We start from the raw sequence: 23,955 nt of genomic DNA, 5'->3' as shown, positions 1-23,955 counted from the left end.
CGTGGAAGCACTCGTGTTCACTGAAAATGACCTCTCTAGAAAGCAGAAGCTACTCAGGCCCTTGGTCAGGTCACCTTAAAACCATGTTTGGTTCGGCTCACTATTATTCTAAGGAAACAATGAAATTAATTTCTACTGTTTCCTAATCAGGAGACTTAAATGAAAACGTGAATTTTCTACTTCGTTTTAAAAAAGCAGACTCTTGGACACCCCTTAGCCCACATTCCCATAAAACCATAATTGACCACAGCTGAGCGGCACCGGCTTAGTGGATGTGTCCCCAGCCCACTCCAGACCCCGCCATCCCCACTGCCTCATACGCTCATGTCCGTTTCACTCATCTGCATTATTCACACACAGTCTTAACTGTTTGTCTCCAACTATCAGCATCAGAATTAAACTTAGAGGCTGACCGAACTCTCCCATATTTCCACCAAACCGCCATCTCCAGAATACTCACGTTCTTCCTCACACTCTGAGACACTAAATTCTTAGAGCACATCATCAAAACTCATCATGCATTTGTTTATCTTTATGAGATAAATGCTTTTTGAGACCTTAGAGTGCAAGGCCTTAAGAATTAATGAAATAGGGAATAATCACCATCCTGCCTTCACTGAGCCGGAGCAGGGGCAGCAAACTTCTTAAAGTGTCACACAGGAACGAGGTCAGGCCTCATGGGTCACGCCCTGTGTCACAAACACTCAACTCTGCCATGGCAGTGCAAAAGCAGCCACAGACAATATGCAAACAAATGGGCATGCATGAATAAAACTTTATTTCCAAAAGCAAGCAACGGGCCAGATTTGACTCGAGGGCCATAGTTTGCCGACTCTTGATCCAGAGCAGTCTATCACACAGAAACATAATATGGGCCACATCTATCATTTTAAATTTTCTAGCAGCAAGCACATTTTTAAGAAGTAGAATAAAAAAGGTGAAACTAATTTTAATAATGTATTTTTACTTAGCTCAAAAACCTAAAATATTGTCATTTCAACACAGAATCCATATGAAATTACTAATTAGATATTTCCCTTTTCTTTGCACAAAGTTTTAGAAATCCAGTGTGCATCTTACACTCACAGCACATCTCTAGTTGGACGAGCCACACGTAGCTAATCACTGCCTCACGGTACAGTACAGGAAATGACCCCTTGCCATTTTCCCGTCCAGCTGCTAGTGGACAGGTGAGAAGCCAGGACACCATGGAAACTTGTAGAATGGGGCCGGGCGCAGTGGCTCACACCTGTCATCCCAGCACTTTGGGAGGCTGAGACGGGTGGATCATTTGAGGTCAGGAGTTGAAGACCAGCCTGGGAAACATAGTGAGACCCCATCTCTACTAAAAATACAAAAATTAGTCAGGTGTAGTGGTGCATGCCTGTAGTCCCAGCTACTTGGGAGGCTGAGGCAGGAGAATCGCTTGAACTCAGAAGGCAGAGGTTGCAGTGAGCCAAGATCATGCCACTGCACTCCAACCTGGGTGACAGAGCGAGACTCCATCTCAAAAAAAGAAAGGAAAAGAAAAGAAAAGAAAAAAGAAAGAAACTAACTTGTATAATGGATGCCAAAAACTTTGACTTCTCATCAGGTCAGAGATCACTGGGGTTTTGGGTAAATCTGCATGACTCATCCCCAGGGTCCCCAGCCAGATACCCCAAAACAGGTCTACACCAGGGGTCCCACAGGGATGGCACACAGGCTGAGCCTGCCTCGTAGATGTCTTGTATTTGGTCTGCACATAATTTCATTTAAGATTTCTGCTCTCCCTCTCCCTCTCCCCCTCCCCCTCCCTCTCCCCACGGTCTCCCTCTCCCTCTCTTTCCACAGTCTCCCTCTGATGCCGAGCCGAAGCTGGACTGTACTGCTGCCATCTCGGCTCACTGCAACCTCCCTGCCTGATTCTCCTGCCTCAGCCTGCCATGCCTGACTGGTTTTCGTTTTTTTTTGGTGGAGACGGGGTTTCGCTGTGTTGGCCAGGCTGGTCTCCAGCTCCTAACCGCGAGTGATCCGCCAGCCTCAGCCTCCGGAGGTGCGGGGATTGCAGACGGTGTCTGGTTCACTCAGTGCTCAATGGTGCCCAGGCTGGAGTGCAGTGGCGTGATCTGGGCTAGCTACAACCTCCACCTCCCAGCCGCCTGCCTTGGCCTCCCAAAGTGCCGAGATTGCAGCCTCTGCCCGGCCGCCACCCCGTCTGGGAAGTGAGGAGCGTCTCTGCCTGGCCGCCCATCGTCTGGGATGTGAGGAGCCCCTCTGCCTGGCTGCCCAGTCTGGAAAGTGAGGAGCGTCTCTGCCCGGCCGCCATCCCGTCTAGGAAATGAGGAGCGCCTCTTCCCGGCCGCCATCCCATCTAGGAAGCGAGGAGTGTCTCTGCCCGGCCGCCCATCGTCTGAGATGTGGGGAGCGCCTTTGCCCCGCCGCCCCGTCTGGGATGTGAGGAGCGCCTCTGCTCGGCTGTGACCCCATCTGGGAGGTGAGGAGCGTCTCTGCCCAGCCGCCCCGTCTGAGAAGTGAGGAGACCCTCCGCCTGGCAACCGCCCCGTCTGAGAAGTGAGGAGCCCCTCCGCCCGGCAGCCGCCCCGTCTGAGAAGTGAGGAGCCCCTCCGCCCGGCAGCCACCCCGTCTGGGAAGTGAGGAGCGTCTCCGCCCGGCAGCCACCCCGTCCGGGAGGGAGGTGGGGGTCAGCCCCCGCCAGGCCAGCTGCCCCGTCCGGGAGGTGACGGGCGCCTCTGCCCAGCCGCCCCTACTGGGAAGTGAGGAGCCCCTCTGCCCGGCCAGCTGCCCCGTCCGGGGGGGGGGGTCAGCCCCCCGCCCGGCAAGCCGCCCCGTCCGGGAGGGAGGTGGGGGATCAGCCCCCCGCCCGGCCAGCCGCCCCGTCCAGGAGGTGAGGGGTGCCTCTGCCCGGCCGCCCCTACTGGGAAGTGAGGAGCCCCTCTGCCTGGCCAGCCGCCCCGTCCGGGAGGGAGGTGGGGGGGTCAGCCCCCCGCCTGGCCAGCCGCCCCATCCGGGAGGGAGGTTGGGGGGTCAGCCCCCCACCCGGCCAGCCACCCCGTCCGGGAGGTGAGGGGCTCCTCTGCCCGGCCGCCCCTACTGGGAAGTGAGGAGCCCCTCTGCCCGGCCAGCCACCCCGTCCGGGAGGGAGGTGGGGGGGTCAGCCCCCCGCCCGGCCAGCCGCCCCGTCCGGGAGGTGAGGGGCGCCTCTGCCCGGCCACCCCTACTGGGAAGTGAGGAGCCCCTCTGCCCGGCCAGCCACCCCGTCCGGGAGGGTGGTGGGGGGGTCAGCCCCCCGCCCGGCCAGCCGCCCCGTCTGGGAGGGAGGTGGGGGGGTCAGCCCCCCGCCCGGCCAGCCGCCTCGTCCGGGAGGTGAGGGGCGCCTCTGCCCGGCCGCCCCTACTGGGAAGTGAGGAGCCCCTCTGCCCGGCCAGCCGCCCCGTCCGGGAGGGAGGTGGAGGGTCAGCCCCCCGCCCGGCCAGCCGCCCCGTCCAGGAGGTGAGGGGCGCCTCTGCCCGGCCGCCCCTACTGGGAAGTGAGGAGCCCCTCTACCCGGCCAGCCGCCCCGTCCGGGAGGGAGGTGGGGGGTCAGCCCCCCGCCCGGCCAGCCGCCCCGTCCAGGAGGTGAGGGGCGCCTCTGCCCGGCCGCCCCTACTGGGAAGTGAGGAGCCCCTCTGCCCGGCCACCACCCCGTCTGGGAGGTGTACCCAACAGCTCATTGAGAACGGGCCAGGATGACAATCGCGGCTTTGTGGAATAGAAAGGGGGAAAGGTGGGGAAAAGATTGAGAAATCAGATGGTTGCCGTGTCTGTGTAGAAAGAAGTAGACATGGGAGACTTTTCATTTTGTTCTGTACTAAGAAAAATTCTTCTACCTTGGGATCCTGTTGATCTATGACCTTACCCCCAAACCTGTGCTCTCTGAAACATGTGCTGTGTCCACTCAGGGTTAAATGGATTAAGGGCGGTGCAAGATGTGCTTTGTTAAACAGATGCTTGAAGGCAGCATGCTCGTTAAGAGTCATCACCACTCCCTAATCTCAAGTAATCAGGGACACAAACACTGCGGAAGGCCGCAGGGTCCTCTGCCTAGGAAAACCAGAGACCTTTGTTCACTTGTTTCTTTGTTCACTTGTTTATCTGCTGACCTTCCCTCCACTATTGTCCTATGACCCTGCCAAATCCCCCTCTGCGAGAAACACCCAAGAATGATCAATAAAAAATTAAAAAAAATAAAATAAAACAGGTTGAAAAAAAAAAAAGATTTCAGTTCACTGCCCATTTCTTAAAATTGGGAGATGTTCCATTTTAAAAATCCAGGTCTGGGGTTTTTCTTGCAAAATCAGAATCAGTCACCCTAACGGTTACAGACAGGTGGCCTTGAGTTGCTAGCAACTGCTGGCTGCAGAGGAGGCGGTGCATTCAGGCTGCCACTACCTCTCTCTACTCCCCACTGTTGCTCTGTCTGGCCCATGCCATCCATTTCCTTTGGCCCCTGAAGCCACATGAGTTTGCAACCTCTGACTCTCAGGTATAGCTGAGGGAGAGAAGGAAGAAAAGCAGCAAGGAAAGTAAAAGTGACCAAGCTTAAAAAGAAAGTGTTTCCTGTGTAGACCTGCATTGCCTTGTGTTGCAAACCAGACAGCCAATAAGGATACGGAGCTGCCTTGGCCTCCACCCACCTCACTGCGCATACGCCATCCCCACCCAACAACCCCAGCCCCCACACCTGGGCTCCGCAGAGGGCAGCCCTGCCTGGCCTTTTCTGGGGTGCGTGCCTGTCTGGCCTTGGCCCCAAGTTCTGCTTGTCCTACTTTGTCCCTGTCTCACTCCTGCCAGCCCCACCACCAACTCTTCCCACAGACCTGCCAGCCTGGCCACACCCTATCACACTCAGTTCAGGGACCTGCTGGGTGGTGTGGGCCACAATGACACGGCTAACTGCTGCCACTGCAGTGTCAGGTGCGAGACAGACCCTTCTAGCCCGTGATGAAGAGATCACAGAGCCAGGCAGGCGGTGGGCCACAGTGGCTCCGGCCTGCCCTAGGGCAGGACACACACTTCTAGAAGGTTCTGAGGAGTGACCTTTAGGACCAGCATCCCACAGGCAGCTTTCCAGCTAACTGGACATGCCCCTGGCCACAAGCCCCACGAGGGCAGGGGCAATGCCCGGCACATCCATCACACATCCCCAGCACCAAGCCCAGCATCTGGCAGAGAGCGGAGGCTGCACAATGTGCTTAATTAATAAAGTCATCAGTGAACCCACTCATGAGCATGCAACTGTGGCTCATTAAGCCATCCATTTTATAATTAATGAAGCAACCCACCCACAAGTAGGTGTTTAATCAACATTCGTCTAATTAATTTATCCTCACTCGGACTCCCTCCTTCCCTAGACACCCGGAAACACAGAGGGAGCCTGCTAAGTGTCTGCTGCACATTCCTGAGGATGCTGCAGGGTACCCATGGCTAGTCAGACGGGAGGGCGCCCGTGCCCAGAGTGGGTGTTTATTGAGCGCCGACTGTGTACCACGGCTAGAGGGGAGGGTGCCAGTGCCAAGTGGGCATGAAGCCCCGACTGCATACCTTAGCTACAGGCAGGGCACTAGTGCCCGGAGTGTGAGTGTTTACTAAGTGCTAACTGCATAGAAGGCACCGCCTGCCACAGTCACCCCTTGTAGCCCATCTCAACAAAAACAAGAGTGTTCGTATTAATAAAGCACTTACTGCATACCAAGCCCTGTCTCGGGGCCTCACGCCCGGTCCTGTGCATACATGCATAAGGACCTTCCAGCTTGTCTATACCCGCTCTTTCCACCCAACACCCCGCGGGTCCTTCCCTTCGGAGCCCGGAAGCGCTCCCACACTGGGCAGCCTTGGCCCCACCCTAGAGCTCCTTCATGATTGGCTGAGCTGGTTGCTAATCCCACTCCCCTTGGTTAGTGATTGGCCCAGGTGTGGTCATGTGGCCCAGCTCTGGCCACTGAGATGTGAGGGGGTGTCTCAGCAAAGGGAACCATGGGAAAGATTTCCCCCTGACGAGGAGGGAGTCTCCCGACCCGTTCTTTCCCTCCTGGACGTGCCAGGGTAAGGCGAGGGTGCTGGGGGCCTGCAGCTGGGCGAGAAAAGGGCCGAGTGCCGAGAGAATTGTGGCGGTGCCTATCCAGCCCCTGCTGTGAGTGAAGACTGAGTTAGTGACTCCTAGGATTCCCGCCTCTGGGCCTCTTGTTGCCTGAAGCGAGTACATGGCCTGAAGTCTAAGTCCGCTAAGCAGAGGGCCCTGTTTCTCACAGCCAGAAGTACCTGAGACACATGGGCGATCTCACTGTCCCCATGTCACAGTGGGAAGCAGGTGTGCTGAGGTTAAATAACCTTCCCACGGACACAGAGCCGGGAGTGGTGGAGCTGGGGTCAAAGCCAGGTCTCTGTGACTCCAGGACCGCTGAGTCCCGCAGCTCCATGTAGTTCCCTTTAAAGCCCCTCTCAGACTCCATGACCTGTCATCACTCCCTCAACCCTGAGCCTCTTGAAAGCAGGGAGTATTAGCACTTGGTCATCCTGCACTCCCAGAATCTAGTATGGTCTATGAATGAATGAATGAATGAATGAATGAATGAATGAAATCTGAGAAGTCTAACTTCTCTTACGTGGACAGAAAAGCTGAGGGCAACCTCCCTCCATTCCAAGATGTCTCAAGTCCCTGAACACATGGCTCTGCATGTGCTTCTTTGGGTGTGACTTCAGCAAGGAAATCAGTAAGAATTAAGAACCCTTGAAAAGTGCTCACCACGTACCCAGCACTGTTCTGTGCACATAGGAACCCACTTATCCCCGATGAAGTGGGCGCTGTTATTATTTCCTCCACATCTCAGGAGCCAAGTGAGGCAGAGATGTTAGGTCACTTGACCAAGGACACAGAGTAACTGCAGATCAAAGGTCAGTGCAGCCGTGGGACTTCATATACCCTGCTCCTAACCCATATGCTGTGCTTTCAAGGTGAGCCAATCTCAAAACCCCTTCTGTCTTCGCATCCACCAAGATAAGCCCTAGCCCTAAAACAGAAGACAGCAAGTCCACGAGAGCCCACGATCCACCCTCTGCCTTCACCTGGAAACTATTTGGAGGAGCAGAAAGAGAAACCATCTTGATTTTAATGCCATAAATGTTGCATTCTCTAAGTGTTTAGATAGCTTTGGGGACTCCCACTGTGCACAGGCTGTGGCCCACGCCCCACGGCTGGATCTGCCAGTGAGGCCTCTCCACCTTTTACCTGTTGCCAGGAGGCAGCAGAGTTTATTTAGTCTAGGAGTTGCCAACCACACGCCCGCGGGGGCCAGGTGGCTGCACAGGGGGGACCAGGCAGGTTGGGCATTGGGAAACCACAGCAAAGACTCAAGTGCCCATAAAGGAAGCTCCGCTGAGCTGTACAGAGCTGGCCAGGAGGGCCACACCAGCTGGTTGTTCATGAGAAGCCTGAAACCCAAACGTTTCAGTAAAAGTTCCTGCTTTTTTTAAACTCGATCTAGGTCAAACAGAAACATCTATGGTCCCGGTAAGGGTGCCACGCCCGGTCCACCAGACACAGACATCAAATAGCCTTACCTTGGTGAGATTCAAGGCTGTCTGCTCCGAGAGGGACTTACTGGGTAAGCTGAGGGATACATTTTGGAGGTAACTCAGTATCACTCCGGGACTTTGGAAGGTTTTTCTCTCTTCTGTCAGGTTGGTTATGATGGGATGGTAGGCATCTGTGGGCATCTGAAAGAAATTGGCAACATGAGTTTCTACTAAGAACTAAAACCAAAATATTATACAGAAGTTTAATGTGTCCTACTCTGGGTCGAATGCTTTTTTTAATTTTTTTTTTTTTTTTTGAGACTGAGTCTTGCTCTGTTGCCCAGGCTGGAGTGCAGTGGCGCAATCTCGGCTCACTGCAGCCTCTGCCTCCCGGGTTCAAGCGAGTCTCTTGCCTCAGCCTCCCAAGTAGCTGAGACTACAGGCGTGCACCACCATGCCTGGCTAATTTTTGTATTTTTAGTAGAGACAGGGTTTCACTGTGTTGGCCAGGCTGGTCTCGAGCTCCGGACCTCAAGTGATCCTTCTGCCTCGACCTCCCAAATTGCTGGGATTACAGGCATGAGCAACTGTGCCTGGCTGCTCTTTTTTTTATTTATAGAGATGGGGTTTCACTGTGTTTCCCAGGCTGGACTCGAGCAGTCCTCCTGTCTCAGCTTTCTGAGCAGCTGGGACTACAGGTGCAACCACCACACCCAGCTGGTCAAATGTTTTTATACCATGATAGTAATATAGCTCCTACCATGTATCTGACACTTTTGTGAATATTTTGCTTATATTAACATTTCATCCTCACAACAACCTTACAAAATAAGTCCCCATTTGATGGATGACACTAAGCGCAGAGAGGCTTACTCAAAAATAAGTGGTAGAACTTGGATTTGAACCCAAGCAGATGGGTCAGAGTCTGTGCACTCACTATTATATTAACGTTCTCAAGAAAGGACAGTTCTTTAACTACAAACACTAATTCCAGACAAGAATTTTTCTATATGAATTGAACTTTTCTCTAACATCAAACGAAAAGGGCATAGAGAGAAGCCAAGCAGGGCAGATTCCTCACTCCCCACTCACGGCGCCCACGTCCCATGAATGAGCCCGGTATTTCCTTTTGGGCACCTGAGGTTCCTGGTGGCAGGAGTTGAGAGTTTTCCCTTCAGTCACTCTTAGCACCAAGAATTAGTACTGCAGTTGGCTTCCCCTCCATTTGTTATTTCTTCCCAGACAATGTACTGCCGATAACAGAGAGCCCAGACACCTAATGGAATTTTCTCTCTCCCAGCAAACAGCCCAAGCAGAAGAACATCAGCAAGGGGGACCAAGGAAGATGTGTCTGCTCACCACGGGGCTTGCTGTGGATGTCATGAAGAGGCTTGGCAGCGTTGAAGACAATAAAGCATGCTTTCCTGGAAGAAACAATGCTGGATTAAGGACTAAAACATGGTCACTTTTTTCACCACGAGGAAGACCTGTCCTTGTTAAAAATGTACTGGCTTCAGACACATGGAAGAGAGTCTGAGAATGTTTTGAGTAGGAATGTTGCTGGAGATAAATTATGGGCTAAGAAATCAGCTGACTGAGTCGACCGTATAGATTTTCCCAGGTCACATTACTTTTCCATTTGTATTCTCAATCGCTTTTGAACACCCTTCATGCAAGTCAGCATATCAAAAGATGATTTTATACAAGGATTACCGATTTCAAATAAATAAAGAACCAAAAGAAATAGATTTCAATTGCATCCAGACTGGTTGGAGATAAAATGAGGAGTGCTACAACTCGCTGGGCCAGCACAGACAGGAGCCCTGGGAGCGCTCTCCTCTGAGATCGATGAAGTGAGAATAGGCCCCAGTAAAGCAGTGGAGAAAACTGTCTTCCTGAGCCCCCTCTAGCCCAAGGATTCCAGCTATTCTTTGCACTCAGCCCCCATGGGGTTAATGATGAATTATTACAAACAATGAAGACATTTAAGGCTGAAGACTAAGCCATGATTTGCTGTTCTCTGCCTGTTCACCCCCAACTATTTCTAATCCCACTATTTCCTGATGAGAACACACACTTAACCAGATATTCTACTTCATTTTTGGAAAATCTCTTGAAGTTGCTTTGGATGAGCTGAGGAAATGACATCATCACCCCTTGCTGGCTGCAGGAGTGACTGAGCCCTTGGGTTTGGGTGGGGTTGGGCTGCTGGTGAACGCAGAAGGTGTGGCGCTGCCGAGAGAACTGGACCCCAGAACCGCTCTGTTCTCCAAGTCAGAGTGACATTCACTCCTCAGGTGCCAATGAGTTACAGAGGAGTCATGTCAAACTCACATTTAACTCGTGTGTGTCCACAAAGCAGAGTGAGGGATAGTGAAAATCGGTCCAGCGATCCTGCCAACGCTTGCAAGCGATGACCATGGAGACTGGGGTGAAAATGAGAATCTGCCAGGTCCTCAGTCGGTCCCAGTTCCCACGTGTTGAGTGTGTTTCCAGTGCCCAAAGGTACATGCTTTCCGATTACACGTATCTGAACATAACCTTCTTCCTCCTCTACAGAAAGAGCTGCTGTCCATTCCAGTGGTAAGGGAGAGGGGACACCTGGCCAGGGTGACAGACGGTCAGCACTGTGCCTTTGTATCAGGAAAGGCCACCACACCTGGACGGACCGGTCAGCAAATGGTGCCAGCTCTGGCTCATGAGATTAGAGGAGGTGTCACCTCTGCCCAGGTCACTCAGAAAAAAGCCCCCTCTGGGCACCTACAGCCCCAGCACAGCTTCAAATGCAGACAGGTCTTCATGTAAAGAAAGACTTCTACCTACTTGTGTGGCCATGTCCCCACCGAGGCCCGGCCTGGCTGGGAGCAGACTGGATTTCAGTTCCAGTTGTCACTCTGCATGGCTGCCCTGAACTCGGCTGTGTCAGACTCACTGAGCAGTGGTACACGGGGCCCCACACAGGCCTTCCAGGGACTTCAAGAGCCATTCTCCTATACATGCTTTACGTCGTATGCCTTGTCTTCAGACCAGGTCACCAGGTGCAATGGGATTCTGGTCGATCCAGTTCTGGTTCAGTTCTGGTTCTGGCGATGAGGGTTTGCTCTGACAAGAACAAGAACCAGAAACAAGGGCACCTCTTTCCAGTGTTACTAAAACAAGTAAACTGTCAGGAGGGCAGGCTTTGTTTGAAGCTTTTCATAACATAAATACAAGTGATATCTTGGTTTCAAAGTGACAACTCTAAACCCTAGGCAATAAAATGCAGTAGATTGGTCCATTTTTTTCTTCTGAAGGATGCTATCATTTGCCCTCTGTCAGTGCTAGGAGAGGGAATGCATTCCGTTTTCCTGGGTGGAAGCTGGAAGATGTAAATGTCGAAGGCTGTAGTGGACACAGGCTGTTTTGCCTGCACAGCATCTGTTCCTTCTGAGACCAGCATACCTGATTGTCCCCTGGGAGTCCCCTCTCCTCCACATGTTCTGGACAAGGCTGACCTCACTGTCATTTCAGGGGGGCTGGGGATGGGGGACTATGACAGAGACCTAAGCCAGTCAGCATATTCTGCACTCCCAGACACAGAAAATGACTCATGGAAGGTGCATGGATAAATGTGAGCCAATGTGAGTCCTGCCCAGCCCCAGCATGGGAAGTGATAAGAGAAAGAAGCTCCCTCTTTTCCACAGAGGCTGCTGAGGGCAGAGGATGCAACACTAGAAGCATGACAGCCACCTTGGCACCAGGAGGAGGCTAACAAAAGAGGGCAGGGTCAAACGCAGAGATTCCCACTGACATCATGTGAGCACCTGGACCAAACCAGTTCTGAAGCAGTTTCCCCTAGAGCTTCCATTGCAAGAGATGAAAAAGAAACACATGGCTTTCTTGGCTAAAGTTATCTTGAATTGGGTTTTCTGTCATGCAATCAATAGGGTCCTAACAACTGAGGGACTCAACGTCAGAAGCGGAACGAGGGCAGGCAGCGTCTGGAACTCAGGCCTTTCTCTCCTGGTCCTGACATCCGCTGTGCTGGGTCCCAATGAAGCAGCAGCCACATGTTTGTGAGTGCCTACATGGGGTCTGTCATTTTTTAGCAGATTATTTTATGTGGAAATAAAGAAACCCATTGGGGAAAAAATGGTGCATTCACTTGTGGGCAGCATGAAAATGGAATTGTAGGGGAAAGATGAATATTAATTTTAAAAACAGCTAAGAACCACTGGATTCTTGCCATATGCCAGGCATTGTGCTAATGGCCTTTATTATCAACACCTCCCCCAGAAAGGGAGTATTTTTATCCATTTAACAGAGCAAAAAAAAAATCTGAGAGATTAAGACAAAAAGGTTATACGTTACACATTTCCATTTATGTGGAATCTCCAAAATAGGTAAAGACAGAAAGTAGATTCGTGGTTGCCAGAGTCTGGGGGAGGGGAAGGCGGGGAGTGACTGTACTCACCGGGTGCGGGGTTTCCTTTTGGGGGGATGAAAATGTTTCCAAGCCAGGTAGAGGTGGCAGCTGCATAACACCGTGAATGTGCCAAGTGTACTGACTTGTTCATTTTTAAATGGTTATGTTTATGATATATGAATTTGACCTCAGTTTTTAAAAATGACTTCCCAAAGTCTCACGGCTCATTATGGCACAATGAATATTTGAACCCCAGTCCACCTACCCACAGGCCCCTGCCCCGAACAACTGCCCTGTGCTGAATAGGAAGAGGTATCTTCGGGGCTTTCCAAGGGCCCATCCCCTGGGAGGCACACGGCTAACATTTGTTGATCAAAAACACTAATGGATCTGGAATACTTGCTCTCCAAAGCCTTCTATAATCGTCCATCACATATACCTTGAAACCCCGTGATGATCAACAGAACAATATTCATCTCAAAGCATCTCTAGTAAATTATTAACTCCTCTATCTCAGGGAACAGGTGTTCTAACACACAACTGTGTTTATAAGGTTCATTAGGACACATCTCACGCCTGCAGTGCTGATAGCTGCAACGGGAGAGTGGGGAGAAAGGAGGCCGATACCAGGGTGACCCTGGGAACAGACAGCGGATCTGCCCCAGCCCTTCACACTCACTGACCAATGGCAGCAGTGAAGTACATGGCGATCTCATCCGGAGTCAGAGCCCGCTCCCAGATGATGAACTCATCGAAAGCACCGTTCTCATAACACTTGGCCTGGTCCTGCTCAGACCCTATCACGAGGTTGACGTTGGACTCTCCATAGTCACGAGACACTTTTCCACTCGGATCAGAGGTGCTCAGGGTCCCGTTGACGTAGACTTTCAGGCCCTCCTTGGATTTCCATGTAAATAGGACATGAGTCCAATAGGGGCCTGGAAAAGAGTGAAGATCGCCATTCTGAGTACTGTGGGAATGAGCTCCCCATGCACAGGTTTTTCCTGTTTGTAGGCACATCCTTCTTTCTTAAGGTGATCAATCACTGTTAACTGTGGTGCGTCCTAATACAAGGTATAACACAGACCTGACTTTCCCCAGTCCTTTGGAGCACAGGAAGGATGTTATCTTTTTGTCCTTATGCCCTAAATTCCAGAAGCAGTTCAAGGAGACTCCTTGTTATTTTAACATAGTAGTTACAAATTCAAATGCCCACAAGCAAGTGTGATTAAAATATTTGAAAAATGGCAGGGCACAAGTGCCAACCAATCAGACCATAAGCTCAGTTAAGAAAAAATGGTCAGGAGCGAGACAAGGATGTCCCCTTTTACCACTCCTTTTTAACATTGTACTGAAAGTCCTAACTAATGCAATAAGGCAAAAAAGGAAAAAAAAGGAAATAAGAATATAAATATTGGGAAGGATGCAATAAAACTATATTTATTCACAGATGATGTGATTGTCTATGTAGAAAATCCAAAAGAATCAACAACAAAGCTGAAACTAATGAGTGAGCATAGCAAGATTACAGGCTACAAGGTTAATATACAAGTCAATTGCTCCCCATCTGCCAGCAACGAACAAGTAGAATTTACAATTAAAAAACACATTACCATTGTCATTGGTGCCAAAAAAGGAAAAAGAAATACATATATTATAACAATACATTTATAAGCTATATATAAAGAAAACTATATAACTCTGATGAAAGAAATTAAACAAGAACTAAATAAATGGAGAGATATTCCATATTCATGGACAGAAAGACTCAATGTTGTGAAGATGTCAGTTCTTCCCAAATTGATCTATATATTCAACACAATCCCAATAAAAATCTCATCAAGTTATTTTGTGGATATTGATAAACTATGGAGAAGGAAGAGAGCCAGAATAGCCAATACAATATTGAAGGAGAAAAACAACATTGGAGGAACAACACTACCCAATTTCCAGACTTACTATAAAAAGTTACAGTAGTCAAGACAGTGTGGCATTGGAAAAAAACAGATGAATAGATCTGTGGGACAGAATAAACAGCCCAGAGATAGACCAATAAAAATACAGTCAACCAATCTTTGACAAAGGAGAAAAGGCAGTACAATGAACAAACAGAACCATTTGTTGCAACAAATGGTGCTGCAACAACTGAATATCCACGTTCCAAAAAATAAAAAGAATCTTGGCCGGACGCAGTGGCTCACGCCTGTAACCTCAGCACTTTGGGAGGCCGAGGCAGGTGGATCACCTGAAGTCAGGAGTTCGAGACCAGCCTAGCCAACATGGCAAAACCCCGTCTCCACAAAAATACAAAAAATTAGCTGGGCGTGGTGGCAGGTGTCTGTAATCCCAGCTACTCAGGAGGCTGAGGCAGGAAGAATTGCTTGAACCCGGGAGGTGGAGGTTGCAGTGAGCCGAGATCGCCCCATTGCACTCCAGCCTGGACAACAAGAGCCAAACTCCATCTCAAAAAAAACAAAAAAAAAATCTTAAACCTGTCATAAAAATTAATTCAAAATGGACTATAGGTCTAATATAAAATGCAAAACTATAAAACCCTTAGAAGATAATATAGGAAAAACATCTAGATGACCTTGGGTTTAGTGATGACTTATTAGATCCAACACCAAAGGCACAATCCATGAAAGAAATAATTGACAAGCTGGACTTCCTTACAACTAAAAATGTCTGCTCTGTGAAAGACACTGTCAAGAGAATGAGAAGACAAGTCACGGATGGGGAGAAAATATTTGGAAAAGACATGATAAAGGACTATTATCCAAAATACACCCAAAAACTCTTAAAATTCAACAGTAAGAAAACAAACGACCCGCATTTTGGGAGGCTGAGATGGGAGGATCGCTTGAAGCCAGGAGTTTGAGACCAGCCTGGGCAACCAAGTAAGACCTCACCTGTACCAAAAAAAAAAAAAAACTAGTGAGACATGGTGGCACATGCCGGTAATCCCAGCTACTTGGGCAACTGAGGTAGGAGGATCACCTGAGCCCTGGAGTTAAACGCTGCAGTAAGCTGTGATTGCACCACTGTACTCCAGCCTGGATGACAGATCCTGTCAGAAAGAAAAAGAAAGAAAGAGAGAAAGAGAGAAGAGAGGAGAGAGAGAGTGAGAGAGAGAGAGAAGAGAAGAAAGAAGGAAGGAAAGAAGGAAAGGAAGGGAGCAAGGGAGGATGGAAGGCAAGAAGGAAGGAAGGAAGGGAGGGAGGAAGGGAGGGAGGGAAAGAAGGAAAAGAGAGAGGAGGGGAAGAAGAAAGGGAGGAAGGAAAAAAGAAAGAAAAACAATCCAATTTTTAAAATGGGCGAAAGATCAACCTCACCAACCCATAGAATGTACAACACCGAGAGCAAATGCTAATGTGAACTATGGACTTTGGGTGACAATGATGTGTCACTGTAGGTTCATCACATGTAACAAATGGATCATTCTGGTGGGGGAATGTCCATAGTGGGGGAAGCTGTGCCTGTGTAGAGGCGGAGGGTAATGGGAATTCTCTGAACTTTGCACTCAATTTTTCTGTGAATCTAAAACTGTTCTAAAAAATAAAATCTATTAAAATCTAACAGCAATACAGGCACTCCATGGCGCCCACCAACCCAGTCTGCAGAGGCCAGGGAGCGGGTAAGCACAGTAACGAGCTTTCCCTGAGGACGTGGCTTCTGTGCTGACTGCAGTGCGTGGAAGGGCGGCTGCCCCATCACGAGGTGGCCCCTACTCACCTCCCCCATCAGTAACATGAGAGATGAAGAGCCTGCCTTGCCAGTCTTTTTATTTCCAAAAGAAATTGGAAAATCTTAATTTTAAAATAAAATCATAACTAATGATCGTAAATCATTCCAAATATTTTTCTTACAAACTTGGCCTAGGCAATCACAATATAGGACCATAAAACCCATCTGAGGACCCAACTCAGCCCACAGGCCATTGGCATCAGCCTGTGCTCTAAGCGAGGGCGTATAATGTTAACCAACATGGGAGTGAGTTGGTAGAGGGAAGACCAACCTCCCTGCTCATTCAGGAACCTCCATCAACCAGCATTTGTGTTACTCTTCTCTCTGGCACAAGAACCACGCTCATCAACAAGAATGTTCATCAGACTTTGACTGTTGATTCCCCCACAAAGGTTCCCTTTGTTCTGCCAGCATGTGTGGTAAGCTGTCCTCCTGAGCTTGCTGCTGGAAGGAACAGGGCAGCCCTTTTAAAGGACACACATCACCTCTAGCCAGCTATGCATCTTAGATCACCCAGAATGACATCAGGGCTTCTTGCTCAAGATTGTGCAACTTTCTGATAATTTTGAGTCTCTGGAGCACGCTTGGACCCTAGGTTGGTCCAAAGTATTATTGCCCCTGAGTTTGAAAGTAAGAATAACAAACGCCTTCAATGCACAAAAGAGAGCACATTGCCAGCCAGAAGTGTTTCTAATTCTCGCCCTTTCCCTGGGTGGAAAAGCAGCCAGAGTTGAGCATACTTTACCTTTGTTCAAGGTCAAAGAACCTAATGGATGCCTGAAACCACGTTCCACCAGCCCCAAGGAGCAGAGAGATAAGCTGCTTACAATCGGACTCTGATAGCAAGTGGAACAGGAAGGTCACGGAAAAGGTTCAGATGGTTCTGTGTCAGGGGAGGGAGGCAGAGATTATTTCTGACCTTAGGGATCACAGAGGGCAAATTTGAAGTAGATGTTTGCTGAACTGCCCCACTTTACAGAGGTGGAGGTACAAGCTGGTCCGAGCACACCGAGCATCCACAGAAGAAGGCAAACACCTTCTGGGCCCACTGTGCCATCATTCCACGCTTTATGCCTAGCAGCCCACTTAGTTCTCACAGTCACCCTATGATGTGATACTGCTATTACTGCCATATTATGAATGAGGAAACTGAGGCATAGGGCAGTTAGGGAAGGTGCCCAGGTTCACACAACTACCAACGTCCAGAGGCGGGATTTGATCCAGCCTGTTTGGGTCCAGAGTTCACGCTTTTTAATAACTGGGCCATGCAGCCTCCCTTAAGAATGAGCCAGAAAATGGATTTCCCTTAAATACATCAAAGATGTTTCCTACCGGAGGAGATCATCCTAGGCTTTTGTGCTGCCCCCTCCACCTCTGCCCTTCCCTTGTTGGGCTCCAGTCCTGACTTGGCCCCCACTCCATGCCACCCTGAGTCCTTCTGTGTCCCCAGCCACCTGTTCCCCTTCTCCAGCTTCCACTTCAGACCTTCGTCAGCCTCTGCAGCCTACTGCCCCACGTCCATGTCTCAACACCCACCTGCAAACTCAGCCAATGTGCAGGGACTCCTGTTCTCTTCCCACACATCCAGGGCCCCTCCCTCCTCCAAGACCACGCACAGTCCAGTGCTTCATGCGCTCTCCCCTAGCCCCTTCCTCTGCTCCCCGATTCTTCAGCCTCTCTCTCCAAAAGCTTCTTCTCGTCATGCTTTAAACAATTTCAAGTCTATACCACTAAGAAGAAGGAAGAAGAGGAGGGGGAGGAAGAGAAAGAGGAAGAGACAAAGACTGTGAGAGAAAAAGGAGGCAGATGAGGAGGAAGAGGGAAAATGAGAAGGAAAAGAAGGAGAAATGTAACCACTGCTTGCACTTTGCACACCATATCTTCAGCTTAATGTCCTGGAAACCGTGAGGTAAGTACTGTCAATATCATCTGCACATCACAGGTGTGATCACTGAGGTCAGTGTGGTCAGGTAACCTACAGCAGGCACACAGTGCACGGGCAGACGGAGCCCAGGCTCTGCACCAACCAAAGGCGGCTTACCAAGGGCACCTCCTTGCCTCTCCCCATGCACCTCCCCAACAACCCTTAAAGGAAAGGAGCTCGGGTGCCAGGAGGCAGCAGCATCCCTGGGCTCCTTGGGCTGCGTTGGGCTTCTCAGCGTCCATTCTCAGAGAAGACTCCACTCCTCCAGGCAGAGCCTCCCGGGACCGATGCTGTCACTCACCTGGGGGGCTGAAGGAGGCCTCCCATGTCATGGAATTGTCCCGCGTATACAGCTCCACAGAGCCTCTGCCACCGCTGGAGCAGACTTTGAACCCATTGGAGATGACCTGTCCCCCATACGCAGAAGGGATTGGTCTAGACTGTTCTCCTTGTGTCTTCCAGAAAAAAGAAAACGTGACCCCTGAGGAAAGTCACAAGATCAGTTATTCACAGAGAGCAGGGGACTTGACTTCTCGCAAGCACATGGTTCTCTTTGCTTTTTATTTTTCATTCGAAAAGCATTTTGTCCCCATTCTAAAGGCAGTGTATGTTCAGTTCAGAAAATCCAGACAGTGATATTTGCTCATGTTTATTAAGGGCTCACACAGTGCCAGGCACTTTTCTAGGAGTTTGAAATGAATTCTCGCCTTTTAAAAAGTACAAAAATCCTGCTTCATCCCCACTATACAGATGAAGGAACTGAGGCTCATTCACTCAAGGTCACCAGTGACTGATGAAGATCGCTGCAGCCCCAGGCAGTTCCCCGCCCCCACTCCCCGGGATCATGCAAATGTGAAGACCTACACCCTCCAGGTTTCTCTCCTATTCCTCCAGAAATGTGGTTAGGGCGGCTCCTTCCTAAGCCTCTTCTATAAATAGATTTTACAAAGACACGAACCATCTCAGGCACACTGGTTTATAAACAACATTTCTATAAAGTTTACTCCACCGTGAACTTCCTCCGATGTCCATAAATACACTGTCACGTTGTCACTTTTATGTCTGCACAGCGGCGCATTCTAAACAAGCACCACAGTCTTTTTTTTAAACAGCAATCCCCTGTTGCTGGATCTTAAGGTTTTCTTCCACTTTTTGAAGAAATTTTCAAACAGAACTTGAAGCAAATTCTTTTGCATATCTCAGACTATATGCCTTTAGGATACATTCCCAAGAGGGCATTTCTTGCCAAAGGGAAGCACACTTTTAAGGTTGTTGATATCTTCAATTGTTCATTTCCCGCAGTTGGATACAGAGGGGGCAGCAGCTGAAACCTTTTTCAAGACTCTAGTCTGCACATTCGTGGTAAGTCCTGACCCCAGGCCCACGCTGCGGGGGAGGAGGGATTGCACCTGGACTAAATGGTCTGAGCGACGCATGTTAGCATGAATGAGCTGGCTCATTAGTTCATGTTGCCTCCGCCACCAGCAGCAGATAGGACATACCTCAAATGTGTTGTGGCAGTATATTACAGTAAATTATGACAATTAGATATTGTACCTTTGTGGGTGCAAAGTCCTACTGTGATCAATGTAAACATGGAAAAACAATGTAATTTTTATGATCCTCATGTGGGATTTCTCCATGTTTTTACTATAAGAGGAACTGCAGGCCGGGCGCGGTGGCTCACGCCTGTAATCCCAGCACTTTGGGAGGCCGAGGCAAGTGGATCACCTGAGGTCAGGAGTTTGAGACCAGCCTGGCCAGCATAGTGAAATGCCGTCTCTACTAAAAATATAAAAATTGGCCGGGTGTGGTGGCATGCACCTGTAGTCCCAGCTACTCAGGAGGCTGAGGCAGGAGAATTGTTTGAACCACGGAGGCAGAGGTTGCAGTGAGCCGAGACCACGCCATTGCACTCCAGCCTGGGCAACAGAGCAAGACTCTGTCTCAAAAAAAAGAGGGTCCAGGCATGGTGGCTCACGCCTGTAATCCCAGCACTTAGGGAGGCCGAGGCGGGTGGATCATGAGGTCAGGAGATCGAGACCATCTTTACTAACATGGTGAAACCCCGTCTCTACTAAAAATACAAAAAATTAGCCAGGCGTGGTGGCAGGTGCCTGTCGTCCCAGCTGCTCAGGAGGCTGAGGCAGGAGAATGGCGTGAACCCGGGAGGCAGAGCTTGCAGTGAGCCGAGATTGTGCCACTGCACTCCAGCCTGGGCGACAGAGCGAGACTCCGTCTCAAAAAAAAAAAAAGAGGAACCGCAAAAGCCCAGCTCCTGAGCATGCCCCGCACCCACCCCGACCGCTGTTCTGCACTCACACCCACTGGTCTGGGGGCCGGGCTCTCTGCTGAAGGGGAAGTCAGGGCAGGGCCTGGCTGGAGGCTCTGTGGAGCTTGGGCCTCTCTGGCGTTGCATTTTGGAGCTCTGGTTGTCTCTATTCCACTTCTCTGCCTCCAGTAGCATCTGCCCACCTGGCCCTTCTTTGTGTGTAAACTCCAGTGTGTGTGTGTGTGTGTGTGTGTGTGTGTGTGTGTGTGTGTGTGAGACACTAGCTGCCTGTCTGGATTCTGCCCCTGACAGCTGGAAATACATCCAGCTGCCTCACCCCCGCCAAGCCTGGCCCAGGCACATGGGTAAGAGGGTTCAGTGGTGCTGAGAGAGAACACGTGCCCAGAACTGGTCCAAAGAGGCCCATGATGGGACGGTGGGTGCAGGGGAGAGGCAGAAGGATATTTGCCCTGGGCTTTATTTCTATAAATGGTGCCAAATTTAGACTTTAGACCTTACCTTCACATGAGGTTATGGACACAGTCTTAGAGAGTCACTGAATTCAAAGAAGACATTTGTCATTCGTGTATAAGGCAGTGTCTCATTGCCCACCATGCTTTCTGTGATGCCTTATGAATTAACATATCTGTTAGAAGTCCTTCAAATGTCTTGTGACAATATATCAAGACAACTATACCTTTGTGAGTTCAAAGCCCTCGCAGGATTCAGGAAAAACACAGCATACATTTTATAACCCTGGTATGGAATTTCCCCATTTTATTTTTTAAGAGAAGAAGAACCTCAAAAAAATTGGAAGAGGCCTGGACCTTTCTGGACCTCTGAGAGGCTACGGGGTACAACTCCAAGCCCTGCGGCATCTGTCCTTAGGGCTCCTGGGAAAGAAAACAGCCTTCCCGAGTGCCCAGTAATGTGGGTTACCGCAAAAGGGTGCGACTGTGGGGGTTGCACAGAGGCCTGGGGCAGCTGACGCTGGTGTCCCCAGACCTGGCTGGCACCACCCACACCCACCTCATGAACGGGCTTCCTGCAACACCTGCCTTGGGCGCTGAGGGGTACAGAAGCCAGGACAACCCCCCGAGCCTCCCGCCACTTCCCTGCCTTGGGCGCTGAGGGGTACAGAAGCCAGGACAAACCCCCAAGCCTCCCGCCACTTCCCTGCACACTCAGAAACAACCCGTTTCACAAGGAAGTCAGCACAGTGCGTTGTGAAATTTTTGTTATGAAACAAATTCCCAGTAGGATTCATGGAAGTTAATTTTTTCCAAAAACTTTGCTGCATTTTAAAATTTCTTTCACTCAATTCAAAATGAGCCTGTCTTGGCCAAATGTCTTTCTGTTCAGGAAGAAAAATAAAAATAAAAAAATTCCATGTGGTGTTAGGTAAGGGTAGATCGAAGGCCATCCATGGTGCCGGTAACCAAGCTTTTCATTTAGTTAACTCAACGCACAAAACAATGACTTCTACCTGAGCAACAGCTTATATTTAAGTATCAATTCACGTCTTCATAGAGTCATAACAAATTCACAATGTGCCTTCCATATTAGCCTTTTAAGGAACTTTGCCTCATGGAGTTGGGCCATCAATACAACAAGGAAAAATCTGAAGGAAAAAGAAACAAGCACAATATTGACAAACTAATTTGATAATTTTTTCTTGTTATAAGCACTGAATCCTAAAACATCCAAAAAATAAAATGAGGAAAGATCTTTTTTGACAAGACAAAAAAAGGAAAAATAAAAATCTAGGAGTCATAAGAAAAGACTAATAAATTTAAGTGCATAAATATAATATTCTGCAAGGCAAAAAAAATTACCGTAACAAACTCAAAGACAGACAACCATCCAGGGAAAGAATATTTGTCACAGATTTACTAGATGAGAAGTTAATTCCCTTCATATGTAGAGACCACGGCATAAGACAAAGGATGATTTCTAGCAGGTGAGGAGAACTTATATGGGCTGAGGTTAAATCCTCCCAACAACCTGTGAACTAGGGGTCATTACTGTCCCCATTTCACAGGGGAGAAAACTGAAGCACAGGGAGGTGCGGTAACTTGCCCAAGGCCACACAGCTGGTCTGGGACGAGTCAGGATTTGAACCCAGGCAGCCTGGATCTGGAGTCTGCGTTTGTAATCACTGTGCTGTGGCTCCCGCCCTTCCCTTGGAGATCATGCATGCAGCTGCCCTTCCCAGGCCCACAGACTCAGCACCCTGCAAGAGCATGATCAACACATGCCAACAAAGCAGCGGCCCAGGAGGGCGCGAGGTTATACAGGCATGCGGGCCCGCCTGGCGTCTGTACCCACACCCCAGTCACCACAGACCACACAGCTGAAGGCTGACTCGGGCTGGGCCTATCAGAATCACCAGGACTGACCCAGGCATGGGCAGGCTCACCTGACAAAACCAGAACTTGGAGCTTCTGAGCGGATGCTGCTCCCACACCAGGAAAGCAGCCTTGAGAACAGAGCTGGAGCAAGGCAGGGACAGGGTCTGATGGCCGTTCTGGCACCCGGACCAGCCTGTGGCCCACCACGTTTCCCAAAGAGCCACGAGGATGCGCGTCCCATACGCTTTCACGCAAGACTCAGAGCCCGTTTCCCGGCTGCCTCATGGGCCCTGTGCCTGGTGTGGCCAGGAGGAGACACTCGTTTGCATATCGAGCCTTTAAAATTCTCACTCCACACCCCCACCCCAAAGCCCCACTCTAATCGCTTCCTGAAATGACTGGGGCTGTAGGACACCCACTTTCCCCATGGGAATAAGAAATTCTTCCCTTTCCCCTTTCCCTGCTCCTCTAACAAAGCCACACGCAGGCCATCCTGGGGAATGGCCACCACCTTCAGTCACAGCGACAGACAGCAGAGAGTCCTGCAGGCTGAGGAAAACTGGAAAATGCTGGCCCTGCCTTAAGGGGCAGTCACTCCTTACCCCTGACCAACTGCTGCCAGTGGGGTGCAGGGGAGCAGTTCTCATATTTTAAGAGAAGTCAGAAGTGTAGATTTTTAAATGAAATTTTCCCATATATAAAGGTTGAATTTTTTTGAGACAGTGTCTTGCCCTGTGGTCCAGGCTGGAGTGCAGTGGTGCAATCATGGCTCACTGCAGGCTTGACCTCCTGGGCCCAAGTGATCCTCCCACCTCAGCCTCCTGAGTAGCTAGGATGACAGGTACACACCACCTCGCCCTGCTAAATTTTTTTTTTTTTTTTCATTGAGACAGGGTCTTCCTGTGGTGCCCAGGCTGGTCTGAAACTCTTGGGTTCAAACAATCCTCCTGCCTCGGCCTCCTAAAGTGTTGGGATTACAGGTGTGAGCCACTGTGTCCTGCCAGAATTGAATGTTAATTTTAAAAGAAAAACACTGAAAGCACCGGGAGAAATTCCATTTCTGGAAACCTCGTGGGCTGGGGTATTTGGATCCACCCACCTGGCAGGAGACAATGTAGAAAGTCTCACTCTAAAAACAGAAGATCAACACGGCGCCCACCAAACCAAGCACGTATAGTCAGCCGCGGATTCCGGGATGTGGTATCACATGAGTTGCGAGAATCACCTGGAGAGACTGGCTAAAAATGCCGATTCCCAGGCCTTGTCCACTGAGACTCAGAATCAGCACGTCCTGGTTGGGGCCTGGGAACCTGCAGTTGCTGCCACCCAGGGCCTACGAGCTGTACTTGGAGATACACTGTGCCACAGCATCGTGGCAGCTCAGGCTCATCTTGCATCCTCTCTGGGCCTCAGTTTCCCCATCTGTTCAAGGAGTGTGCTGAATGAATGCTTCTCTGAGGATCATCTGCTCCACAGGCCTCCAAGCCCCCTGACCCCAGATCGCCTGAGTAAGAGAGTAGCTAGATCCCTGCCAGGCCCGTGTCCCCCAGGCCCCTCTGGAAATTTCTATCCTAAAACTCCACCTGCAAGTATCTTAGCAAATTGTTGACAGCGTTTTAAATTTAGGAAACAAATGCAAAGGGGGAAAAAGTCAACTCAAAGCTGAGAAGAGGGAAATGGCCGTGCGGAGATGCTCCAGCTGCTG

The 23,955-nt window shown here is 50.0% G+C and overlaps 1 protein-coding gene and 1 long non-coding RNA gene across 17 annotated transcripts in view, besides 2 other annotated features; one reads left to right on the top strand and one right to left on the bottom strand.

Annotated features, from left to right (window-relative positions):
* ADGRD1 (adhesion G protein-coupled receptor D1) overlaps positions 1-23,955 on the bottom strand; it is a 187,563-nt gene that overhangs the window by 141,478 nt on the left and 22,130 nt on the right. For 9 of the 15 annotated variants that reach the window (NM_001330497.2, XM_011538204.2, XM_011538206.2 and 6 more), the window contains 4 exons: positions 17,929-18,108; positions 12,643-12,897; positions 8,914-8,978; positions 7,600-7,755 (listed from right to left, as the gene is read on the bottom strand). In NM_001330497.2, coding sequence (NP_001317426.1) covers positions 7,600-7,755; positions 8,914-8,978; positions 12,643-12,897; positions 17,929-18,108 — 656 coding nt within the window. The other 6 variants (XM_011538205.2, XM_005253566.2, XM_047428720.1 and 3 more) reach the window with 3 other exon arrangements.
* On the top strand, positions 6,016-9,366 carry ADGRD1-AS1 (ADGRD1 antisense RNA 1). 2 transcript variants are annotated; one of them, NR_131950.1, is made up of 3 exons: positions 6,016-6,172; positions 7,524-7,643; positions 8,855-9,366. It is a non-coding gene; the product is annotated as an ADGRD1 antisense RNA 1 (long non-coding RNA). The 2 variants fall into 2 exon arrangements; NR_131951.1 differs by lacking the exon at positions 7,524-7,643 and having other exon boundaries at positions 6,016-6,084.
* Positions 10,035-10,204: an enhancer, noted in NCBI's record as "experimental_25923 CRE fragment used in MPRA reporter constructs". NCBI's record gives its function as "activates a minimal promoter by MPRAs in K562 erythroleukemia cells, with activity observed for the non-introgressed 12:131474418 variant allele {active_cell/tissue: K562}" and the evidence as "EXISTENCE:reporter gene assay evidence [ECO:0000049][PMID:34662402]".
* Positions 19,456-20,446: an enhancer, noted in NCBI's record as "H3K4me1 hESC enhancer chr12:131464091-131465081 (GRCh37/hg19 assembly coordinates)". NCBI's record gives its function as "activates a minimal SCP1, AML or CMV promoter by ChIP-STARR-seq in naive H9 embryonic stem cells {active_cell/tissue: H9 hESC(naive)}" and the evidence as "EXISTENCE:reporter gene assay evidence [ECO:0000049][PMID:30033119]".

Source organism: Homo sapiens, chromosome 12 (genome assembly GCF_000001405.40).
Source record: "Homo sapiens chromosome 12, GRCh38.p14 Primary Assembly".
NCBI lineage: Eukaryota > Metazoa > Chordata > Mammalia > Primates > Hominidae > Homo > Homo sapiens.
Note: the sequence above shows the minus strand (reverse complement) of the source record. Positions and strands in the feature narration are given on the sequence as shown.